The following is a 19,873-nucleotide window of genomic DNA, read 5'->3' on the forward strand; positions in this document are numbered from 1 at the left end:
TGGCAGGCAGCAGATCTGCATTTTCACGGAGGCCTCAGGGGGACACAAAGCTTAAATGGCAGCGCAGAGTCGGGAGGGGGGTGCCCAGGGGGCCTCAGCAGAGCCCCGTCCCTCCCGGCAGCCCGGCCTGCAGGGGCCACTCGGCCAATCCCGAAGAGCTCGCTCAGGGGCTGCGAGTGGAAGGGCTGGGAAAATAATTACCGAGGAGGCCCGGGAGGGAGGCGGGGAGGCTGGCGAGAGGCTTAATGAAACTGCTAACGCGTTAGTGATTCCTGCCTGCTCGGGAAAGGCGGAGGCAGACAGCCATGTTGCCAGCTCCTGCGACGGAGGCTGCCAGGCGGGACGGGCTGGGCACGGCACGAGGCGGCAACAATAGGCACCTCTTCATCATCTGCCTCTCAACACGTGACTTTCAAAGGGCAATCTTAATATATCAAAGTCCAGATGACAGTTTATTTCAACACATCTCGTATTAAATTGGGCTGGAGTCCCTTCAGATGCATTATAAATATAAAGGCTAAAATTCTGATTAAAGCCATAATCACGGAGATCTAAGGATGGGGGTGAGCAGGGTGTCTGGTCCCATTTTTCAGATAGGAGAGGTCATCTATATCCAGGGAGACAGGGTTGTTCCAGAAGGCATCCAGCCCTTTAAAGCCCTCCCACGAGCAGCCCCTCTCCTCCCCACCCCTGGGTCTTTCCAGTCTCAGAAAAGCTCTGTGAGGCAGGCAGATGCCACGAACCCCCTTAACAGGTGCTCCCCAAAGAGTCCGGACCAAAGACACACAGCGAAGCCACAGGGGCAGTCGCTGCACCCAAGGCTCAGACTCCTGGCCTAGCGCTCGTCCTCACACAAGGTGGGCACTTACTGGTCACTGCAATCTACACTGTGGTTTCCAGTTTACATCTCACTGCAGCTCCAGGCGAGAAAACAGAGGCACACAGAGACTAAGTGATATATCCAAGGCCACACAGCTGGACAGATCTAGAGCCAGGACTCAGGGCTGGGGTTTCAGAATCCAAAACTACTCACTTTTTCTTCAAACATTCTGCAGGGCACAGTGGGTACCTGGTACCCCCTGGCTTGTTGAAGGAAAGATCTGGGGCCATAGAGAAGCCCATAGCGACTAAACCCAGCATTCTCTGGGCAGCGAACTGCATGGAAGGCCAAGTGAGGAGTTGGGGCAGCTGGTGGGGCCAGAAATGACCACAAAAACGGCGCTCACTCTGCACCCACTCTGCGTCAGCATGTGCTGGACAATTACTACTGCGGGATTCCCATTGTCCAAAGGAGGAAACTGAGGCTTGCAGAAACAGAACCACATGCCTTAGAGAGTGACCCTCAGCTAGTGAGTGGCACAGCCACAGTGAGATTCAATCATCCCAGGAGGTGGCCCTGCCCCAACTGCTGCCTATCCCAAGCCTGGGGCAGGCACTTGGCCAGCCAGGTGCTCACGGGGCCAGCCTGATGCTCACGGAGCCAGCCTGATGCGCAGACTCAGGCCAGAACCTCAGGTATCCGGTGGGGCCCATCTCCCTCCCACCATCCCAGGATGCACGAAAGAGTTTTAGGGTGGGAGACAAGAATGGGCCTGGGAAGGGGGCCTCAGTCCCTGCATACTCAGCAAAGCTCCCCCTGCTCCTGACCTGGTCAACAGCTGGGTCAGGGGGTAGGGGGAGTAGGCCAGAACCCCAGTGACTAGCTGGGCTCCTGCCATATTGAGACCTGGTACAAACAAGGTCTGTAAGGAAAGGATGAACCTTTCCTTACCTGTTCTGCTTCACTGGCCCCCTTAGAGCCGTCCAGACATTCCCAGGCCCAGGGAGACGCCTTTCAAGGGGCCCAGCAGCTCATGCAAGCCTGTCCCCATCTGTTCCCAGGTCTGTTTCCCCAGGGGGACTGTCAGAGGGCAAGGCCACATTTGAACCACCTCTGTGGGTACAAGACCCTTGTGCAAGAGCCTGTTCTGGATGAATGAATGAGTGAGTGAATAAATGATGGAACAAACCAATGTCACCCAACCAGCAGTCCCTTCCCGCGGTAGCCTGCACCCAGCACAACCATTGTTTCTGTCCATTGAAAGGGACCTCCACTGCATGAGACTAGCCCTGGCCCTCAGCCATCACCAGACAAGAAAACTGAGGCTCAGAGGGCCCAGGGCCTCCTGGGAGGTGGCAGCACCAGGATTCAACCCCAGACAGATGGACTCAGTCTGTGCCTTAGCCTCAGGATCTGCCCAGCCTTCATTTCCAAAGACAAGTACACAAGCACTCACCTGGCCCACCCCACTCCACCCCACCCTGAGAGCACAACCATGCCCATTCCTGGGACAAGGACATTCAGGTGCAGAGCAGTAGAGGGCCTAACCCAAGGTCACAGAGTCATCAGGACGCACAGCAAGGTCTCAAACTCAAATGGCTGCCTCCATCCCTCATCATCTCTTCCACACGCCAAAGCTGCCTCCTTCCCCATCAACGCAATAAAGAAGGGAAGGGGGAGGGGGAGGGGAAAGGGGAGGGGAAAGGAGAGGAGGGAAGCCCCCCCCCCCACCCCAACCAGCCCGCAGCCGGCTCCTTTCTGGTCAGGGAGAAAGCCTCTAATGAAGGCCCTGCAGATGCCGCGAAGCTGGCAGTGTCAGCCTGGGAGCCCCGCGGAGCTGCGGGGCGCGCAGCTCTGCTCCCAATTAGCACACAGGTCCTCCATCAAAGCGCGCGCCGGCTGCCAGGAGCAGAGGCCGGAGGGACGGCCCTGCTAGCAGCAGGAGGAGGCCGTGGCTCTCTGGCAAGCCCTGGCCTCTGCTCCTTGCCTTTCTGGGGGGGATGCAAACCCCCCAGTCCCCCACACTCACTCACACCCTCTCCAATCAGCCAGCTCAGGGCAGACGCCGTCACCCCGGGGGACACGCTAATGAAGATGGCCGACATTAATCTCTTCCCTCTCCCGACAGGTCAATTTATAGTTCCACGGGGAGCCCTGGCGCTCGGCCAGAGGGCCTGACATAACTCTCCCTGTTCCCCGGGAGGACATCAGGGGTGGGCTAGATGGGGCAAGGGAGGCTGGAGACACCCGAGACAGGACAGGGAGGGACCCTCTGCCTGAGCACCCACCATTACCGTCCCAGCGAATCCAGGTGGGTAAGGACCTGGGCCCCTGAACTCAAAGGCAGAGGGTCAATCCTCGGCTTCTCAATCAAGGGCATCCTGCTCACAGGCAGAAGACCCCCAAGGAAGCAGGAGGCTTCTGACACCTGCTCCTTGTCAGCCTCAAGGGGATTCCGAGAGCCCTGTAAGGGACCCTTCCGCTTCTGCCAGCCTCCCCAGTGTTCATTCCTCAAAGACCTGTGAGCTGGCCACACAGGGGCTGGCCCTGTGCTGGACCCTGGGGACACACCAACCCGGGCCCCAGCTCTCCCAGTCTGGATCAGCGGGGTGGGCGGGGGGGGCAAGATGGAAGCGTCCTACCACATTGAGAGCAATAATGGAAGGATTTGCCAGGAGCTGGGGGCACCCATGGAAAAAGGCCTTCACTTCACCCACCTGAGAAGGAGATGGGAGTCTGGGAGGACCACAGGGAGGAGGGGATGTAGCTGGGCCTTGAGGATGAGCAGTTCAGGAGGCTGGAAGACTTGGGGGAGGGGATGTGTGGGGAAGAGACCATCTCAGGCAGGGAAGACCCAGTGCTTAGGGGGTCTAAGACCAGGGTACATCCACTTCCCTGGGGTGAGGCCAGAGAGGTGGGCAGGGGAGACGGCTCAGAGGAGAGGTCCAGCCTCGAAAAGTGGCTCAGGAGGTTGGCCTAGTTTAGGTTTGTGGACAGCTGAAGAGTTTGGAAGCTCAGAGCTGCATTTAAAATGATAGCTTTGGCAATGGCGTCCCAATGGACAGTCATGGATGGGGAGGAGGGGCCGGTACGTCCAGGGCAGATGGGGAATGGGGGAGAAACGACGGGAGGGCTGACTGGATGGACAGGCAGGTAGGAAGGCCACAGGCCTGGAGTCTCCAGGGTGGGTACTGGGTGGAAGTGATGCCACAGTCCTGGGGTAGGATAAAGACTGGGACCTGATGCTAAGCTTGTGAGCCGGGGAAGGCCCCAAAGCCCAGGGCTGAGAGAGGCCAGGACCCAAATGTTGGCCCGGGTTCAAAACTCTGAGCAGCACTAGACTACCTCCTGGAGGTAGTTCATCTCATTGGGCAGAGGTGAAGCCAGGGGGCTGTCCCCTTGCCAGACACTAGGAGAGGAGGCAGGGGCCTGCCAAGGGCCGGGTGTGTGGCTAGGCAGCCCCACCATGCTGGACAGAGCCCTCGGGTCAGAAGCAGGTGGACAAGGCTGCCCCCATCTCACCCAGTTCCAGAGCCCGACCCTACTTCCGCATTAAATTGGTGCTCCCAGAATCCCAGCTGAATGGATGACCCTCCCTCTAGGCCCTGGACCCTCCCCATTTCCTCCCCCTCCTTCAGGGCTACCTACCAGGTCTCATCTAATCCCCTCGGGCACCGTGGGGGTGTCTCCTTTTCCCTAGGCTGGACACCCAAGGCCAGGGAGCTAAGGGGCCTTGTTTAAAACCTTTCAGCTTCTAGGCGCTAGTCAGGAGGGAACCAGGGTCCAACTGACCCCAAAGCACACACTCTTAAGGAAAGGAGGAAAAAGAGCAAGGCTGAAATAAAAAACGCAAGCGCTTACAGTGGCTGCATTATGGTGGTGGGACAATGGATGATTTTTTTTTCTTCTTTTCTACAATGAAATATTCATAGCCTCACTCTGTCGCTGTGAGTGTCCTGGAGGGGTGAGCTCCCACTGTAGAGTCAAGCGGCCCCAGGGGCAAATCCCGGCTGGCCACTTGCTAGCCGGGGACCTTGAGCGAGCCATTTGCCCACTCTTAGCCTCCGTTTTCTCATCTGTACAATGGGGACAAACACCCCCTACTTCAGAGGAACGGTCACCGCTGGCGCACAGCAGGCGCGCGATAAGTGCCAGCCTTTGAGCCTCACACCCCCGCGTCCTCGCCACCTGTCTGGCCTCCAGAGGGAACTTGAGACGCCCCCACGTGCCAGACGCGGATGCTGGGCGGGCATCGGGCCCCAGGGGCTGGCGCCCACCCCCCGCCCCCCGCCGCGCCCGCGCTGTCCCCTTACCCTGGCGGCCGGAGGGCCGGCATCGGTCCCGCAGGAGAGCCCGGGCAGCGGGGCCGGGCTCCGGAGCGCGGGGCGCGGGCGCGAGCAGGGCGCGCGGGGGCGCGGGCCGCGCGCTCCGGGCCGTGCGCCCCGCGGCCGCCGCGTCCTCGCCTCCAGCGCGGGCCCCGCGCGCCCCGGCCGGCCCGGGGGCAGGCCCTGCGCAGCGCCGCGCCGGGTGGGGGGCGGGCCTCGCGGGCCCTGGAGAGGCGCCCGGGCGGCGCGGGCTCCCGGCGGGCGCGGGCGGCGCCGCTGCGGTGGCCCCGCCGCTGAGTGGTGGGACGCGATTTACTGGCTGCAATTCCCGGCGCCCCTCGATGGCACTTAAGAGAGACCGGGAGGGAGCCGGGGAGAGCGGGCGGAGGGCGGGCGGGCGGGCGGAGGAGGGGCGGCGGGAGCCGTGCGCGCCGGCGGGGGAGGGGCGCGGGCGGGGGCGGGCGGGCGGGAGGTGGGGAGAGGCCCGGATGGAGGCGGCGGGCGGCCGCGGCGCGCCGGGCTGGGGTAGGGGGGGCTCTGCCTCCAGCCCCCGCCCACCCGCGCCCAGCCCCCCACGCACGGTGCCGCTGCTGGGGGTGAGGCCAGCCCCCACTCCACCGGCTCTCCCCACCCCACGCCTTCAGAAAACCCCCACCAGCCCACCGGCCGCCCCCCCCTCCCGCCCACCGTTCCTCCCTCACCGACCCCCCTTCTAACCGGCCTGCGCCACCCCCACCCGCATCCCCACGGCCACCAGAGATCAGAAACTCTAGGCCCACGGGCCCAACCCAGCCTGAAGCCAGGCTTGCGTGACACCATAGTATTTTTTGTTTTTAATTGGAATTAATTCTCATCGTTTAAAAATCTGGAATTTTCTCATAAAAATCCACCGATCAGCTCGGTTTGGAGAAGAGAAGGCCCGGGCAGCAGCCTCCCCCTCGTGCATTCCGCTTGCCAGCCGTCTGTCAAGACGCGGGCCCGCAGCTGGCCTCAGTCCCCACCAGGCCCACCTGCCTGGCCTGGGAGGCGCGCGAGTTCTCCCGCCCCAGCCTGCCATACCCCAGTGCATCGCAGGTCCCCCTCTGTGGATGGCCACCCCCACCCCGTAAGGCCCCTCTTCTGGGAAGCTTCCCGGGACTGCCCCCCGAGTGGCCACCCAGTCCCTCTGTGCAGCCACAGCCCCCGTGGAGGTGGTGGCGCCTGCTCCGCCCCGCCTGAGTCCTCCCTGGCTGGCACCGCGGCCTCTGCGGCTGCGCTCTCGCCACAGGGCTGCTGCTCTCTGGCTGGATTCTCCCTCCGTCCTGGCTCTGGGCCTGGCCCACAGTAGGCGCTCAGTAAGTGTTGGCTGAGCAGCAACCGAAGAAGAAAGGCCGGGATTGGGATTCCACAAGGCAGCCTGGGCCGTGGCAGGCACAGGGCACCGGTCCCTGCAGCTGATGTTCATTTTAAAAGCCCCGAATGTTCATTCGGGGTGGCTCTCGCCAACCAAGGAAGCTAATGATTTCCAAGCTCATTTTTCTCCACCTTAATCCCACTGCCAAGGCTTCCAAGCCTCTGTTGCTGCTGCCCTCAGACTGGGATCAGATCCCTCCAGGAGGTGCAGTCTGCCTGGGGACTGTCCAGGAGGGCCCGCAGGGTCCAGCTGTGCCACCCTGGCACCTGTGAGGCCACAGCCAGGTCTCAGGGCCACCGGGTCTGAGGGCAGCAGCTGGCCAGTGTCCCTGGGGGCAGGAGAGAGGGACAAATTAGCTTAGACAGCCCCCCAGGGCCGACACAGCTCTACTGACTCCTGGGGCAGGTGCCGGGGTACCCCTGCATGCTGCTGCTTCCTGAGCAGAGGACAAGGGGGAGTTGGACAAGAGCTGCCCCTTCCCAGCCACCAGACGCATCTCAGGTTTTACTAAAAATCTGTGTCACAAACCCAGCCAGACACCAGCATCCCATTTTACAGAGAAGAAACAGGTTCAGACTGGGTGACCTTGCCAAGGTCACAAGGCTGACCGGGCACTAAGCCAGAAGCTTATGCACCCCCCAAAGTGTCCCTACCCTGAAGGGAAGCAAGACCCCCCTCAGGGTTAGATCCAGAGCTAAGTCCAGGAGGTGGGACTGGTCTGCAGTGCAGGAGAGGCAGGCACCTGCATCCCAGAGCTGGCTCCAGACAGGTCTCCCTCCTGGGAGGGAGGTTGCACAACCTGGGCACCCCACCTCCTCAACTACTCCCTTGCCACAGCGGCCTGGCCAGTTGCCCTCCTCACTGAGGGGGCAGGAAAGCAGGCCTAGCTCAACAGCCAGCAACAACACACGAGCCACAGACCACCTTCCTGGGCCTCAGTGTGCCCATCTGTCATGTGGGGGAACACCGCCAGCCTCTATGGGCTTTTATGGGGGAGCGGGGGCAAACAAGACAGCTGATGATGGGCAAGGAAGAGGGAGAACCAGGCAGTTAATGCTCCAGCTCTGAGCTGGTCTGGGTTCACATCCTGACTTCCCGATCACCTAGCTGTGACTCACCTGCTCGAGGCCTCAGTTTCCTCATCTGTAAAAACAGTAGAGGGGATTATAAAACCAACAGACTCAAGAGACTGTAATGAGGGTGACAGGACCATGCATGGTTGGGACCTCAGCACAATCTGACAATCCCAAGGCCTAAGACCTGTGACCTTGAAGGTGGAAACAGGAAAAAGGAGCAGCTAAACACATGGACCCTGGAGGGTTCACATCCAGCTCTGCTCTGTGTGGCCTTGGGCAAGTTACCTAACCTTACTGGCCTCAGTTGCTCTGTCTGTAAAGTGGGGCTATTAATGACAGTTCTCACCTTATCAGGTTGTGCTGGGGCTTAAATTAGATAACTCAGGTTCTGTACTTAGAACAGCACCTGGCACCAGTAACACTCAAACAGCACTAGTTTGCTTCTCATTACTCTCGAGATTATAAAGGCAACCAGTCCCAAGCTCGAGGAGATGCTCCTGCTGTCCCCAGGAGACCGTGGACCTGATTTTTCATTCAGAAAATAATCAGACAGACCTACGTTCAAATTCTACCTCTACCAGCTGGCACCTCTAGGCAGGCCTCAGTCTCCTCAGCTGTGAAGTGGGGGCACAGCGCCTACCGCAGCTGCTCTCCAGCTACACCTGAGCCTCACCCTCCCGTTGCCCCTCACCAGCTTTCCAGTGAAATGAAGACAGCTCAGTTGGGGACCCTGACTACAGCCCCAACAGTGGCCAGATGGGGCACCGGACCCAGAGCAGCCCCTCGTGCAGTCTGAGAGCCCCAGGGCTGCCTAGGCAGGTGGCTGGGGGACCAGCTGAGCCTCTCGGGGCCCAGATTGTTCCAGAAGCCATGGACGGGTACCACCTGGAGAGAGGGATGAGGGTCCCTCAGAGAGGCCTTTCCTGACCCCCTAGCTTCAGTCATTCCCAGTTTTCCTGTTTCTATGGTAACGACCATTATCTATAGTCATCCTTCTTCACCTGTGAGTTGTCTGTCTTTGCCCTCCCTCACCCAGGGTCCATGAGTGTGGGGATTTTCGTCTGTCTTGATCCCTGCTAGACCGCTAGCATCTAGAAGAGTGCAAAGCGCATAGTAGGTGCTCAACAAATATATGCCACTGAATAAGGATTCTCAGATAGTAACAGTTAGCTAGAAGGCTGGGATGGCGGAGCCCCTGCCTGTGCGTAGCTCCCCTTCCTGGAAGACAGCCCCGTCCAGCTGTGGTCCCCTTCTCTCCGTCTCCCCACAGCAGGGGTGAGGAGGCCTGGAGTTGGTCCCCTCTACAGCCAGGAAGCATGTCACTTTCACGGCAGTGCAACGGGGTTTCTCGGGCGAGGGAGGGACCTGGGCAATTTTCTGGCTCACAGCTCATTCCAGAGCTGCCTGGTGACACAGACGTCCCAGCCCCCACAGGCCCAGGGAGGCCCTGCTCCAGCAGATGCAGCCTGGGATTCCCACCCTCGTGCCACCCACTGGGACTGAAGGGGCTTGCCGACTGAGCCCCAGGATGTCATCTGGGGGCTGGGCTCCCGTCCGCAGCCCCAGCCCCAGGCCCTCACGTGTGCACAGCACTCCCCCGTTACAGTTTACAAAGTGCGTTCACAGACATTATCACGTCGGCTCCTAAACGCCCCCTAAAAACCACAATAAATCTCTCGCTCTGGCTCCCGAGCCCACCGGCTGCTGCATAATCAGTGAGCAGAGAGGCCTCAGGGCCCACAGCCTGCCAAAGCCGAGGCAGCGCCAGCAGGGGCAGAGGGGGCTCCACGTGGGCGGGTGGCAGGTGGCGGGTGGCAGGCCCAGCTGGGGCGCCGCAGGAGCGAGGAGCCTGCCGGAGGCCCAATCCTGCAGAGGCAAAGTCAAAAAATGCTGTCTCAACACAGAATGTCTCCTGGAAGATGGGACCAGCAGGTCTTGAGGGGAGGTGATGGGGACCCAGGGGCGGGGCAAAGTCTAGGAAGGGGCTGAGTGCTCTTTAGTACTTAGTAGCATCATTGAGGAGGTGTAGCTAGGAGGTAAACATGGTTCTCAGTCCAGCACTTGGGGCCCAGGGACAGTCAGCCCAGCTGGCTTCTCCCGCTCTGCTCCTCTTCATTCCTAGATAACGGCCCTCCACTAGCGCGGGCCCCCTGGCTATGGGCTCCCGTGGCAGGGCTCCCCATGTGCCAAGCCTTTGCGCACTTGGTCGTTCTTTTTGTCTGCAAGATCCTTACCGCTGTGTTGAAGTCCTAACCTTCCTTGAAGGGAAATTGAGAACTCTCTCACCTGGAGATCCCTCCCCAGCTTCTGGAAGCCACACTTGGGCCCCAGAGCTGCACCTGGGTTCACCTCCCTTAACCGTCACAAGTCCCTTTACCACTTTGTACCTCATGCCCTGGGACAGGGGCTGCATCGTGCTGCCTTTGCAATGGCCCAGGGCCCCCGCACGCAGAAGGGGTGCCTGTGAACGACAGTGACCCGCCAATGACATGAGGCCTCAGGCTTATAGGAGGAGGTGAGACCCCATGTGACAGATACAGCCAGCACCGCTCCTGTGTTTGCAGCCCAGCCACTGGCTTTGGGCAGCCCCAGAGAAAGATTCCCCCAAATGTCTGAGCCGAATCAGCCAGCGGCTGCAGTTGGGTTTTGTTTTTTCACATTTCCCTTGATTCTCAAAGTTATAGGAGCTCAACTTACAAACTATGGAAAGTTCAAGAAGTTTAAATAAGCAGGGCAAGGGAGGGCCTGGTGTAAGGGGGCGGTGGCTGCCCTGGCAGGCTTCCCTCCCGCAGCCTGCCCCATAAGCCTTGGGCTGGACCTCCAGGCCGCAGAGGTGGCTGATCTGTCACACTGGCGGTTGTGAAGCAGGTGGCAGCTTCTCTGTAGTCACCTATGAAAGGATCTAGCATTTCTGCTTTCCCCGGTTATCAAAACCAGCTGCCAGACCTGAGCCTTGGTCGGGGGTCAGGGGACACCATAGGCCCTGTGAAGTGTTCACGCTGCGGTGTCTGAAGCCCAATAGAGGCAGAGGGAGTGGGGGAACTGGAGGTGGGAGGTGACTCATGGGGCAGATATCCTCCCTCCCAGGGGACACTGGACCCCCTCCATGAGACCCCTGAGCCCACAGCCAGAGGACTGGGAGAGCAGAGCCCAGGCAGCCCCAGGGCCTGGCTCCTTGGCCTGGTATCCCAGCTCCTTCCCCCAGCAAGGGACTTGTATCCAGAAGCACCAAGAATTCTTACAATGTACAATCAAAGGACAAGTAGACCAATTTTTTTTTTTTTTTTTTTTTTTTCTGAGACTGAGTCTCGCCCTGTTGCCCAGGCTGGAGTACAGTGGCACAGTCTTGGCTCACTGCAACCTCTGCCTCCCGGCTTCAAGCAATTTTCTGCCTCAGCCTCCTGAGTAGCTGGGATTACAGGCGCGTGCCACCACACCTGGCTAATTTTTTGTATCTTTAGTAGAGACAGGGTTTCACTCGAACTCCTGACCTTGTGATCCACCTGCCTCGGCCTCCCAAAGTGCTGGGATTACAGGGGTGAGCCACCACGCCCAGCCCAAATAGACCAATTTTTAAATGTGCAAAAGATTGGAATAGAATTTCTCCAAAGAAGATATTCAAATGGCCAGGTGCAGTGGTTCACGCCTGTAATCCCAGCACTTTGGGAGGCCAAGGTGGGCGGATCACCTGAGGTCAGGAGTTTGAGATCAGCCTAGCCAACATGGTGAAACCCTGTCTCCACTAAAAATACAAAAATTAGTTGGGTGTGGTGGTGGGCGCCTGTAATCCCAGCTACTTGGGAGGCTGAGGCAGGAGAATCACTTGAACCCAGGAGGTGGAGGTTGCAGTGAGCCGAGATCACATCACTTCCTGGGTGACAGAGTGAAGCCCTGTCTCAAAAAAAAAAAAACGCTTGACATCATTAGTCACTAGTCAAAATCACAATGAGATGCCATTTAATACCCACTGGGATATCAAAAAGACAAGCAATAACACGTGTTGGTGAATATTTGCAGAAATTGGAATACGTGTGCTTTGCTGGTGGGGATATAAAATGGTGCAGCCACTGTGAAAACCATCTAGCCATTTAGCAAAACATTAAAAAATGAGTTATTCTATGACCTAGCAGCTTCACTCCTAGGTATACACACCGAAAAGAAGGGAAAGTATATGTCCACATGAAAACCTGAACACAAATGTTTCCAGCAGTTTTTTTGTTTTTGTTTTTTCCTTTACTGTGATGAAGTTTCAGTCTTGTTGCCCAGGCTGGAGTGTAATGGCGCAATCTCGGCTCACTGCAACCTCTGCCTCCCAGGTTCAAGTGATTCTCCTGCCTCAGCCTCCCTAGTAGCTGGGATTACAGGCATGTGCCACCACACCCAGCTAATTTTTGTATTTTTAGTAGAGATGAGGTTTCACCATGTTGGTCAGGCTGGTCTCGAACTCCTGACCTTAGGTGATGCACCTGCCTTGGCCTCCCAAAGTGCTGATATTACAGGCATGAACCACCATGCCTGGCCCCAGCATCATTATTCATGATCTCCAGAAAGTAGAAACAACCCATATGTCCACTCACGGATGAATGGATAAATAAGATGTGGCATATCCATACAGGGGAATATTATTCAGCCATAAAAAGGAGTGAAGTACCCATTCATGCTACTACATGATGAATCTTAAAACACGCTATACTAAGTGAAAGAAGCCAGACACATATTGTCTGGAGTCCATTCATTTAAAATGTCCAAAACTGGCAAATCCATACAGACAGAAAGTAGATTAGCGGTTGCCAGGGGCTGGAGAAGAGGGGATATTGGAGAGTGATTTCTAATGGATATGGAGTTTCTTTTGGAGATTATTAAAATGTTTTGGAATTAGATATTGGTGATTATTAAAAACCACTGAATTATGTGCCTTAAAAGGATGAATTACATGGTATGTGACTTTTATCTTAATAAAACCGTTTATTATTTATTTATTTAGAGACAGTCTTGTTCTGTCCCTCAGGCTACAGTGCAGCGTTGCGATCACAGCTCACTGCAGCCTCGAACTCTTGGGCTTAAGTGATCCTCCCGCCTCAGCCTTGTGAGTAGCTGAGACTACAGGCATGCATCATTACACCTGGCTAATTTTTTAAATTTTTAGTAGAGAAGAGTTCTCACTATGTTGCCCAAGCCTGTCTCAAACTCCTGAGCTCAAGGAAGCCTCCCACCTTGGCCTCCCACAGTGCTGTGATTACAGATGTAAGGCACCATGCCTGACCAATAAAACTGTTTTTTCAAAAAATAGGGTCCCCCACACCTCAGTGTATTCCACAGGCGCCTGGGAGCCAGCCCTGCTCTCTGCCCAGGCTCAGACCCTGCCCCTCCGAAGCCACCATCCTGGGACAATGAGACACAATGGGGGCAGGGATGCCAGGAGCCGACATGCTGAGGTGGTCAGGGCTCCCTCCACTGGGTCCAGCTGCCTGCTGCCGTGGGCCTTTCGCTCTGGCTGTTGCTTCTTCCTGCAATACTCTTCCCTTTGTCCTGCTCATCCTCCAGAACTCAGCTCAGCGTGCTGGTCCGCAGAGGGGCCTTGCCTGATCCTACACCCTTGTAACTGATTCTCAGTCTCAGTCCTCTCCCAGTTCCCAGCGTTTGACACAATCATGGGGCCAGTGCAAAGCGGATGCACAGTCAACGTTATGTGTGAAGCAGGGGCAAGTAGCTCAGTGAGAGGTTGATGGTGTTTAGGAGGGGTGAGTTGTTGGGGGAGTGGACATCCACCCCACGAATCAGGAAGCCACGAGGATGAGGAGGGGGTGAGCTGGACGCAGATTCTAGAATGATCCCTTTGGTTGTTCTGCAGGGGATGGACCAGCAGTACCAGGCTGGAGACCTGAGGCCGGATAGAGGCCATGGCCTTAGTCCAGGCCTGGAGAGGCAGGGCCCGGCCTTGGACAGAGGATGCACTGGAGGAGGGGAGGGGCACACTTCAGAGAAATTTGGGAGCCAAAATCAAAGTGACTTGGGGATGGCAACAATGTGAGGGAGAGGGAGCCCAGGATGGCACCAGGTTTTGGTGGTGTGAAGGGCCAGGTGAGGATGGGACATTTCTGAGGTCGGGAGCACTGTAGGAGGAGCACATCTGGTATGGCTGACTCTGAGAGGCTGACTCTGAGACCCCAGCAAGCAGTGCCACCCCCACTTATTAAGTCCATCCTCATACCCCATGACACTTCCCATGTCCATCTCCCTTGACATCCAATTGCCGAGGTCAGGTCTCCACAGCCCCTACCTGGTCAAAGCCTCCTGCCATCAAACCAGGTGCCTTTTCTCATTTGTCCTCCATGGTGCCAACAGTTAAAATCAGCACAGCTTGGTCATTCTTCAGCTCAGAAACCTTTGATTGCTCCCTACTGCTCTCTGAACAAAGTCCAGATGCTCCAGCCAGGCCCATGAGACCCTCCAGGGCCAGTCCACTTGGCTTTGCAGCCTCCCCTGCGCCCGCCCGGTTCCTTCACTCCCATCCCATCCCGCACACTCTTCTCTGCTCTGTGCCCTTGCTCCTGCCACACTTCCCACCCCAGATGCCCTGCCCCTAGCTCCCTTCCCCAGTGGGCCTCAGCAGCAGGGGGTCGCCACTCTAGTAGTCTTTGCTGGAACCCAAACCAGGGGATGTGGCTGGACCAGGAATTTTTTCTTTTAGTTCATTTAATTAAAAAAAATTTAAAAAAAAACACTTTTTAGAGACAGGTTCTCTCTCTGTTGCCCAGGCTGGAGTGCAGCGGTGCAATCATAGCTCACTGCAACCTCAAACTCCTGGGCTCAAGGGATTCTCCCACCTTAGCCTCCTGAATAGCTGGGACTACAGGTGCACACCACCACACCTGGCTAATTTTTAAATTTTTTGTAGAGACGGGCTCTCCGTATGTCACCCAGGCTGGTCTTGAACTCCTGAGCTCAAGTGATCCTCCCGCCTCAGCCTCCCAAAGTGATGGGATTACAGGGATGAGCCACTGTGGTTGGCCAGTTTTTTTTGATAGTGACTTTATTTTAAATGACATAGAAATATGTAACAATCATAGTGGGACATGGTGGTGCACACCTGTAGTCCCAGCTATTAAGGAGGCTGAGGTGGGAGGATCCCGTGAGCCCAGGAGTTCAAGGCTGCAGTGAGCTGTGATCACACCACTGCGCTTCAACCTGGGTGACAGAGTGAGACCCTGTTTCTTAAAACAATTTTATTTAATAATTTTAAAAAAAGACCTTAAATCAGAAAGATTGTATTGTGCACCCGGTTGAGAAGTTGTCCCAGGCTCAGACACACAATGTCAAAGTCCTGGAGAACAGGGACCCTGTCTGTCATGTTCACGGATGTGGCCCCAGCACCTGGGATCTCTTGTCTGGGTGCCAAGGTGGGGTTGGGGGAAGGGTGAGAAGAGGGATGGGCATGGAGAGTAGGGAAGGAAGGAGGGAGGACAGGAAGGAGGGTGGGAGATATCTGGGGGTGAGTGGGTGGGTGGGGGGATTCATACCAGCCCATGGGCCACTTTTTTTTTTTTTTTTGAGAAAGAATGTCTCTCTGTTGCCCAGGCTGGAGTGCAGTGGTACGATCTCAGCTCACTGCAATCTCCGTCTCCTAGATTCAAGCGATTCTCCTGACTGCCTCAGCCTCCCAAGTAGCTGGGATTACAGGTGCCTGCCACTACACCTGCCTAATTTTTGTATTTTTAGTAGAGACAGGGTTTCACCATGTTGGCCAGGCTGGTCTCGAACTCCTGACCTGAAGTGATCCGCCGGCCTCGGCCTCTTAAAGTGCTGGGATTACAGGCATCAGCCACCTCGCCCAGCCACCCATGGGCCACTTTAGGCCCAGCCCCTAGTCCAGAGCTCAGAGAGGCCAGGATGGGATCCACATAGTCCCATGAACTGCCGGGGTGCAGAGGTCCCCAGCTCTCCGAACCACAGGGTTGCCAAGCTGGAACCCCCACTTGGCCATGGGCATCTGACCATTTGGCATCCTTGTCCTCCAGCCTCCCTAAGGGCCTCAGCTGAGCCTGTAGGCCCGGCTGGCCTTCCAGCCAAATTGACCAGATCTCTCGGGAATCATCCTTGACGCCTCTGCTCACTCCCTCTCTCCTGCATCCAATCCATCAGCAAATCCTGTTAGATTCTTTTCAGAGCCTCCTCTCTGTCTCCCTGTCCTGCCCTGGCCCCTCCCCCAGTCTATTCCCAACTCAGCAGCCAGAGGGATCCTTTTAAATGGTGCGTCCAGGAGGCCTCACCATCTGGCCCCCATTTCCTCTCTGAGCTCATCTGCCACCTCCTCCCCGCCACTTCCCTGCAGCCACATTGGCTCCTGTTACTCCCCGACTGTGCCAGGCACGCTCCCCACTCAGGGCCTTTGCTCTCTGCCTGGAAGGAATGCTCTTCCCCCAGAGCTACCTTCTCACCTCCTCACCCGCTTCCTGTCTTTGCTCAGATGCCACTTTCTCAATGAGACCTTCCATGGACACCTATTTATAATTGAAAAAAACAAATGTATCCCCTTTCTGCCCTTCCCTGTTTTATTTTTCTCCTTAGCACTTAGCATTCTTGATCACAATACCTGTTGCTTCCTTATTATGTTTTTTGTCTGTTTCTGTCCATTGGAATGTGATCTACAGCGGGGCAGGGGTGTTGTCTGTTTTGTCCACTGTTGTGTCCCCTGCACAGAGCATGGGGCCTATAGGGCTCACATTAGATGCTCCAAAGACATGTGCAATATGAATGAATGAGTGAATGAATAAATGAACCTCAGCCGGGTGCAGTGGCTCACACCTATAATCCCAGCACTTTGGGAGGCTGAGGTAGACAGATCACGAGGTCGGGAGTTTGAGACCAGCCTGGCAAACATGGTGAAACCCCATCTCTACTAAAAATACAAAAATTAGCTGGGCGTGGTGGCACATGCCTGTAATCCCAGTTACTTGGGAGGCTGAGGCACAAGAATTGCTTGAACCCGGGAGGCGGAGGTTGCAGTGAGCCGAGATAGTGCCACTGCACTCCAGCCTGGGTGACTGAGTGAGACTCCATCTCAAAATAAATAAATAAATTAATAAATAAAATAACAAAAACAAAAAAACAAATCTCTCTGAGGTCCAGGCTTGTTCCTCCTGGCCTGGCCTGGCCTGCCCTAGGCCCCATGCGGTCCCACCTGCTGCCTTGGTCCCCCGCTGCTCTAGCCTGCTATGTGCCACTTTACTGCCCCTACTGAAGGCTGCCAGACAGGCACAGCCATGGGAAGCACCGAAAGTTGAGTTGAGTTCAACAGAAGATGATCCAGGGCTGGCCCATCTCCACTGGGTTCAGAACCATTACACAGCACCTTCTCCAGCAGGCCCGGGTGCACCCCAGTGCCTGGACTCCTCTGGCCGCCACTCCTAGCGTCAGAGGAGTCCAGGCACCGGACCACCACTTTGCCTTTCTTCCCCCCTTTACTTCTCCATACTCATTTCCTACTTGAGCCTCAGGTCCAGCCTGGCCAGGTAGACAGAGTGGGCACAACAGGGTCATGGGGGCCATTGCACAAATGAGGAAAGGAGCTGAGAAGTCACATGGGTTGCCCAAGTCGTCCCCTACTCTCCCCACCCCATGCCCCTGCCTGATGAAGTTGGATCGGGCGTGCTGGCTGGCCAGGACACTGTGTGGGCATGGGGAGTCCTCAAGCCCCATCCCACCCCCTGGAGGCTGACAGCTGGGAGACTGAGGCCAAAGGCAGCCCCACTGCAGCACTGCACAGGGACTTCATGCGGGGCCCTGGATGTGGAGGACCTGGAGGCCTAGAGACCTGGAGGAACTTGTCAGCCGCAGAGGTTGTGAGTGTGTGTGTGTGTAGGTGTTGTAGGTGTGTGCATGTGTGCATGTGTGTGCGCACCTGCATGTACATGTATGTATTATAGGGCACAGGACTCATGAAGTGACAGATCACCATGGGGTCCCCAAATCCACACCCCTCACCCCAGCAACTCCAAGGGGTAGCCTGGAGATAGGAAGGGCACCCAGGAGGGAGAGAAGGGGGTTTCTGGACCATTCAACAAGGGGCATCACAGAACAGGATCTTAACCAGTGTATGGAACAGCAAAGTCAGCCTGATCCAGGTGCAAAACCCAACTGCTCAAGTACTCACTGCAGTTTAGGCAGGCGGCCTAGTCTTGCTAAGCTTCAATTATATTATCTGCAAAATGGACCTAATAATTCCCATGTTACAGGGTGGTCAGAATAAAACAAGATGCAGGTTGAGCGCAGGGCCTCACTCCTGTAATCCCAGCACTTTGGGAGGCCAAGGCGTGCAGATCATCTGAGGTCAGGAGTTCGAGACCAGCCTGGCCAACATGGTGAAACCCCGTTTCTACTAAAAATACAAAAATTAGCCAGGTATGGTGGCACGTGGCTGTAGTCCCAGCTACTCGGGAGGCTGAGGCAGGAGAATCGCTTGAACTTGGGAGGCAGAGGTTGCAGTGAGCCGAAATTGCGCCACTGCACTCCAGCCTGGGCGACAGAGCGAGACTCCGACTCAAAAAACAAAACAAAACAAAACAAGATGCAGTGCACACTCAATAAATGATCACTGTTTAGTTTGTTGCTAGAATGGGCTGTCCTTTCATTCTAGAATCACTCAGTGCTCCCTGAGCCCTGATCCAGCCTTACTATGAGCTGGGAACCAGACAGGAGGCCTTGCCCTCAAGGGACTCGCACATTATAGTTATAATAACGACATGCATGAATGTGTGTGTCCCAGCTGCCTGCCTTTCCGAGGCCGTGTGGTTTGCCGCTTTATAAGCACAAAGTCATTGAATCCCCGAGAGAATACTACGCATTGGGGGCTGCTACCATCATCTTGCTGATGAAGAAACAGAGAGGTGAAGGAACTTGTTCAGGGTCATCCAGTGGACAAGGTCCAGAGCCAGGATCTGAAACAAAGATCTCACTCCCACACTCATGCAGGACAGAAACCTGCACAACCCAGGTCATTAACTGCTCAAATCAAGGTAGCACTTGGGGCTGTGGGAGCACTGAGGAAGGAGAAGCTTAAGGGGAGTTCAGGAAGGGACTCACAGGGGACGTTAGTGAGCAGGGACTTAGAGGCATGAAGGCTTGGACAGGAGAAGAGGAAGGGTGGGCCAGGCAGGGATGACAGCCTGGACAGAGGCCCAGAGCAGGGGACAGGAAGCTCAACCCACGTCCGCCCCCCTGCCTGGATCCTAGCTCCGCTCATCGCCGCTGTGGTTCTCGAAGGCCCTCTTATCCTCTGGCCTTTGCCTATGCTGTTCCCTGTTTGCATGCTGTTCCCCTTTTTATCCTGTGCTCTAGGCTCAGTAGTGGGTGACAGAGCAGGATTTGAAAACAGGCCTATGGGACTCCCAGACATGTGCCTTTCCCCATGCAGTGCCCTGCCTCACAGAGAGAGAGAGCGACTCACACCTGGCGAGACCGAGGGTTGAGTCTGCCAGGAAGAGCATGGTGAGCAGGGGGAACAGAATGTGGCAACATGTGAGGGCAGACTCAGGACTGTGCCTGGGTCTGTCTTCCTGCCCAGCCTGGGGTCCACCTCTCACACTCCAGGGCTCCAAAGCCAGTGCTCCTTCCCCTGGCCTGCCTGGGGGATGGCAAGATTTAGATAGAGAATGACTTACTGACTTCAGAGTCCCACAGCCCTGGGTTAGAGCCCCTGGCCCTCATATCACTCTGGCCAAGTTGCTTCCACTCCCTGAACCTTGGCTTTCTCTCCTGTGAATGAGACTGTACCTGAAGAATGATTAAGGAAAGTCCCTGGCACAGAGTAGGTGCCTGGCAAATACCAACGGACAGGAGCCTCGGGACAGATCCCGTTCTGTCCTGGCATGGTGCCGTTTCCTAGCTAGGGAGCCAGCAGGCTCTGCAGGGCAGGGAGGCTCTGCGCTTAGCTAGGTGGTGTTGCAATGAGAGCAGCAAGGTTTCTGAGTGAGCCCTGCCCCTCCTGGGGCCAGTATCGGTGGGGGCTAGAGCCCTGCTCTCCAGTAACTCACTGTAGCCCTCCCAGTTACTCAAGGAGCTGGCCACGGCCCAGCCCAGCGGACAGAGGAGGCAGGTGTCTGGGGCTGGTTGACCCTCAGCCTGGACACCACCCTCCACACACAAGGAGGCAGTGGTGGTCCATGGGGCTGCTCTTCCTAGGCAGGGCTGTTGGAGGTGGCCCCTTCCCACTCTGCTCTGAGAGCCTGACTATTAGAGGGGACACTCAGAGGCCCAGGAG

The 19,873-nt window shown here is 56.6% G+C and overlaps 1 protein-coding gene across 2 annotated transcripts in view, besides 5 other annotated features; it reads right to left on the bottom strand.

Moving 5' to 3' along the window:
- TCF20 (transcription factor 20) overlaps positions 1-5,192 on the bottom strand; it is a 183,525-nt gene extending 178,333 nt beyond the window's left edge. For both annotated transcript variants that reach the window (XM_047441476.1, XM_047441474.1), the window contains exon 1: positions 5,134-5,192. The gene's annotated coding sequence lies outside the window, so the exon portion shown is untranslated. The remainder of the gene's footprint in view (positions 1-5,133) is intronic.
- Positions 98-706: an enhancer, noted in NCBI's record as "H3K4me1 hESC enhancer chr22:42734449-42735057 (GRCh37/hg19 assembly coordinates)". NCBI's record gives its function as "activates a minimal SCP1, AML or CMV promoter by ChIP-STARR-seq in primed H9 embryonic stem cells {active_cell/tissue: H9 hESC(primed)}" and the evidence as "EXISTENCE:reporter gene assay evidence [ECO:0000049][PMID:30033119]".
- Positions 982-1,603: an enhancer, noted in NCBI's record as "H3K4me1 hESC enhancer chr22:42735333-42735954 (GRCh37/hg19 assembly coordinates)". NCBI's record gives its function as "activates a minimal SCP1, AML or CMV promoter by ChIP-STARR-seq in naive H9 embryonic stem cells {active_cell/tissue: H9 hESC(naive)}" and the evidence as "EXISTENCE:reporter gene assay evidence [ECO:0000049][PMID:30033119]".
- Positions 1,604-2,225: an enhancer, noted in NCBI's record as "H3K4me1 hESC enhancer chr22:42735955-42736576 (GRCh37/hg19 assembly coordinates)". NCBI's record gives its function as "activates a minimal SCP1, AML or CMV promoter by ChIP-STARR-seq in naive H9 embryonic stem cells {active_cell/tissue: H9 hESC(naive)}" and the evidence as "EXISTENCE:reporter gene assay evidence [ECO:0000049][PMID:30033119]".
- Positions 13,252-13,752: an enhancer, noted in NCBI's record as "H3K4me1 hESC enhancer chr22:42747603-42748103 (GRCh37/hg19 assembly coordinates)". NCBI's record gives its function as "activates a minimal SCP1, AML or CMV promoter by ChIP-STARR-seq in primed H9 embryonic stem cells {active_cell/tissue: H9 hESC(primed)}" and the evidence as "EXISTENCE:reporter gene assay evidence [ECO:0000049][PMID:30033119]".
- Positions 18,380-18,459: an enhancer, noted in NCBI's record as "active region_19160". NCBI's record gives its function as "activates an Ori minimal core promoter by ATAC-STARR-seq in GM12878 lymphoblastoid cells {active_cell/tissue: GM12878}" and the evidence as "EXISTENCE:reporter gene assay evidence [ECO:0000049][PMID:35858748]".

Source organism: Homo sapiens, chromosome 22, assembly GCF_000001405.40.
Source record: "Homo sapiens chromosome 22, GRCh38.p14 Primary Assembly".
NCBI lineage: Eukaryota > Metazoa > Chordata > Mammalia > Primates > Hominidae > Homo > Homo sapiens.